The sequence below is a fragment of the Homo sapiens genome, chromosome X (assembly GCF_000001405.40).
Source record: "Homo sapiens chromosome X, GRCh38.p14 Primary Assembly".
NCBI classification, from domain to species: domain Eukaryota; kingdom Metazoa; phylum Chordata; class Mammalia; order Primates; family Hominidae; genus Homo; species Homo sapiens.
Genome location: NC_000023.11, coordinates 120,339,648 through 120,343,582, shown reverse-complemented (window position 1 = coordinate 120,343,582; position 3,935 = coordinate 120,339,648). Strand labels below are relative to the sequence as shown.

General features: G+C 40.5%; 1 annotated feature.

The window, feature by feature from the left end:
• Positions 2,439-2,961: an enhancer, noted in NCBI's record as "NANOG hESC enhancer chrX:119474477-119474999 (GRCh37/hg19 assembly coordinates)". NCBI's record gives its function as "activates a minimal SCP1, AML or CMV promoter by ChIP-STARR-seq in naive H9 embryonic stem cells {active_cell/tissue: H9 hESC(naive)}" and the evidence as "EXISTENCE:reporter gene assay evidence [ECO:0000049][PMID:30033119]".

The window sequence follows — 3,935 nt, the reverse complement described above, 5'->3', positions numbered from 1 at the left end:
AAGGGAACACTTACACACTATTGGTGGGAGTGTAAATTGGTTCAACCATTGTGGAAAGCAGTGTTGAGTTCCTCAAAGAGCTAAAAACAGAACTACCACTCAACCCAGTAATCCAATTACTGGGTATATACCCAGAGGAATATAAATCAGTCTACCATAAAGACACATGCATATGAATGTTCACTGCAGCACTATTCACAATAGCAAAGACACTGAACCAACCTAAATGCCCATCAATGTCAAACTACATAAAGGAAACGTGGTACATATACACCGTGAAATACTATGCAGCCAAAAAAAAGAACAAGATCATGTGTTTTGCAGGAACATGGATGGCGCCGGAGGCCATTATCCTTAGCAAACTAATGCAGTCACAGAAAAGCAAATACCACATGTTCTCACTTGTAAGAGAGAACTAATTGATGAGAACACATGGACACATAGAAGGGAACAATAGACAATGGGGCCTGTCAGAGGGTGGAGAGTGGGAGGAGGGAGAGGAGCAGAAAAAGTAACTATTGAGTATTAGTTTTAGTACCTGGGTGACTAAATAATCTGTACAACAAAGCCCCATGACACGAGTTTACCTATATAACAAATCTGCACATGTACCCCTGCACCTAAAATAAAAGTTAAAAAGAAAGAAACATTATCACCCAAATATCACCCATAGTTTACATTAGGGTTTACTCCTGGTGTTGCACATTCTAAGGGTTTTGACGAATGCGTAAAGACATTAATGACGTGCATTGACTATTGTACTAGCATACAGAATAGTTTCACTGCCTTAAAAGTCTTCTGCACTTTATTGATTACTTCCTCCCTCCTAACCCCTAGCAACCACTGGACTTTTTATGATCTCTATAGTTTTACTTTTTCCAGAATGTTATACAGCTGAAATCATACAGTACGTAGCCATCCAAATTGGCTTCTCTCACTTAGTAATACACATTTAAAATTCCTCCATGTCTTTTCATGGTTTGATAGTTCATTTATTTTTAGTACTGATTATATACAGATTTGATGCATAAAATATTACCGTACAGCCTAATGAAAACTTATAAAGATAACGTCACAGGATAACCACTGCCTAAGTCAAGAAATAAAAGACTGACAGCATTCAAGAAGCAACATATCCCATGTAGACTTCTAAAAGAAAACTAGTTGGGACTCTAAAATTTCAATAACATGAAAAGAAAAGTTAGGAGGTCTGTTTTAAGTTAAAAAAATATAAAAGGACAAGCAACAAAATGCAGTGTGTGAATCTTGTTTGGTTGCTGGCTTCCCACCCTACCCACCTAAAAAATTATAAAAGATTCTTGGAGAAACTTGAACATGGACTATTCATTAAATAATACTATAGAACTGTGTTAATTTACTCAAGAATGATAATGTATTGTGGTTACATAAGAAGATGTCCTTAATTTGGGAGATGCATGCAGAAGTTCATAGGGATGAAGTTTCCTAATGTCTGCAACATGTTTTGATATGGTTCAGGAAAAATATATGTATGGGAGTTCCATTTCTGGCATAAGAATGTGAGATCTGTGGACTGGTTCTCCCATGAAATGAAAAATTAGGAAAAAAATCCCCAAACCATTAAAAGTCTCTGGAAATGAGTATGAAGACATACAGTGAATGAAGGAACATCTAATCAAGAAAGTCTATTAAAACTCGGTGAGAACATTGAGAGTTTGGTACTTGAACCAAGACTCATCCTCTCCCTTCTTTCCCAGCTCTGTGAGAAGAAATTCCACTCCAGATTGGTACAGCCAAGGACACAGGGCTCCATCTTCCCCCAGCTCCAAGCTGGAAGATTATCTTCTCTGGAGGGGCAGGATGTGAGTGTTTTTCATCCTTCCCTCAACTACCTGTTGCTGAGGCTAAGATCCAGTGAATGTAGTCAAGAAGTGTGGGTTTCCTTCTTCCAACCATCCTCCACTTGGTGGGATGGAGGCTTTACCTTGGGCATGGCACTGCTAAGAATACTGGGGCCCTGATCATCCTTGCCCTGGCTTGTAAGATAGTGGTTTCATACTGGTAGAGGCAAGCCTAGGAGACATAACGCTACTGCCCCCCGACCCACCCACTTCACGGAGCATTAAGTTCCTAGAGTGGGAGTGTCACTCAGAAAAAAGTGTGCTGTTTTACCCACCCCCAGCTCCAGGGCCATGGCTCAGAAATTTTGTCTTGTGGGAGAAGCAGGCCATAAACAGAAAGCTCTGAATGTCTTCCCAAATGAACTGACTTCATTTGCAACAGAGTGCAGAGAAGTTCCAGTTGAAAGGTGTTCTCAGAAACAGTGGAGAGTGTGGTGAAAGGCAGGAGAATGGGAGATTCATTCATCACAAGCTAAACTGTAAGCTGGCTAGTTTGCTGGAGAGAACCTGGGAAAGAGACAGCTAGAAGAAGACTTTCAAGGGTCAGAACAAACCTCAAATACTTGCCTCAGGAAATGTCCTTTCAAGGGAGTCTGAATGTTTGTTTGTTTGTTTAATTTTTTATTTCCATAGGTTTTTGGGGGACAGGTGGTATTTGGTTACATGATAGTGGTGATTTGTGAGATTTTGGTGCACCCATCACCCTAGCAGTATACACTGAACCCAATTTGTAGTCTTTTATCCTTCACCCCCTTCCCACCTTTTTCCCCCTGAGTACAAGGGATTCTGAATTTAATTGGATTAGTCTGTTGAGCAATTTATGCTCCCAGAGCATTGTTGAAAACAATAGGGCAATCAGTTGAAAATTCGTGGAGTTTAACAGCTAGGTTTGGTTAGGGATAAAGAGACTAAGAGAGCCCTGTGAAAACCATTGTTATCACCGGGTAAGGTGGGAATACCCAAGGCTGCATCACTAAGAAGCAATATCACAGCCTTCACATTGTGATGGTAAATAGGAAATAGACTTCACTGAAATAATCCAGACAGCCATTAAACAACAAAACAAAACAAAATGAAAACAAGCAAATACAAATAACAAGCCTTTAAGCAGGGATCAGTACCCAGAGTTGCTATAATATATTATCTAAAATATTCCATTTCCAACAAACATTATGAGACATGCAAAGAAACAGGAAAGTATAATTTATACATGAGGGGAGAAAGGCAGGCAACAGAAACTGTTTGTGACAGTGTTATGGACTGAATGTTTGTGTCCATCCAAAATTCATATGTTGAAGCCCTAACCCCACTGTGATGGTATTTGAAAGTGGAGCTGTCTTAGTCCATTTTCTGTTGCTGTAACTGAATACTACAGACTGAGAAATTTATAAAGAATAAAAGTTTATTTAACTTATGGTCCTAGAGGCTGGGAAGTCCAATATTTAGTAGCTGCCATCTGATGAGGACCCTCTTGCTGCATCGTAACACAGTAAAAGATATCACATATTGAGAGAGCAAGAGCAGCTCAAGTCTCTTCTTATAAAGCCACCAATTCCATCATGGGGGCCCCACCCTTGTGACCTTCTCTAATCCTAATTACCTCCTAAATGTCCCACAGCCAAATGACATCAACATATCAATTTGGGGATTAAGTTTCCAACACATAAAATGTGGGGGACTTGCCAGGCATAGTGGTTCATGTCTGTAATCCCAGCAAGTCGGGAGGCCAAGGCAGGAGGATTGCTTTGACCCAGGAGTTTGAGACCAACCTGGGCAACATAGCAAGACCCCATCATTAAAAACATAAAAAATAAAAAGAAAAGAAAACTGGGGGGACACACTCAAAACATAGCAAGGTCTTTGGGAGGTAACTGGGTTTAGATGAGGGCATGAGGTTAGGGCTCCCATGATGGGATTAGTGTCGTTATAAGAAGAAGAGACTGAAGCTTGCACACATGCTCTCTCCCCCCAGTGATGATACAGCAAGAAGGCAGCCATCTGCAAGCCAGAGAGAGGGCTCTGACCAGAACCCAACTATGCTTGCACCTTAAGTTT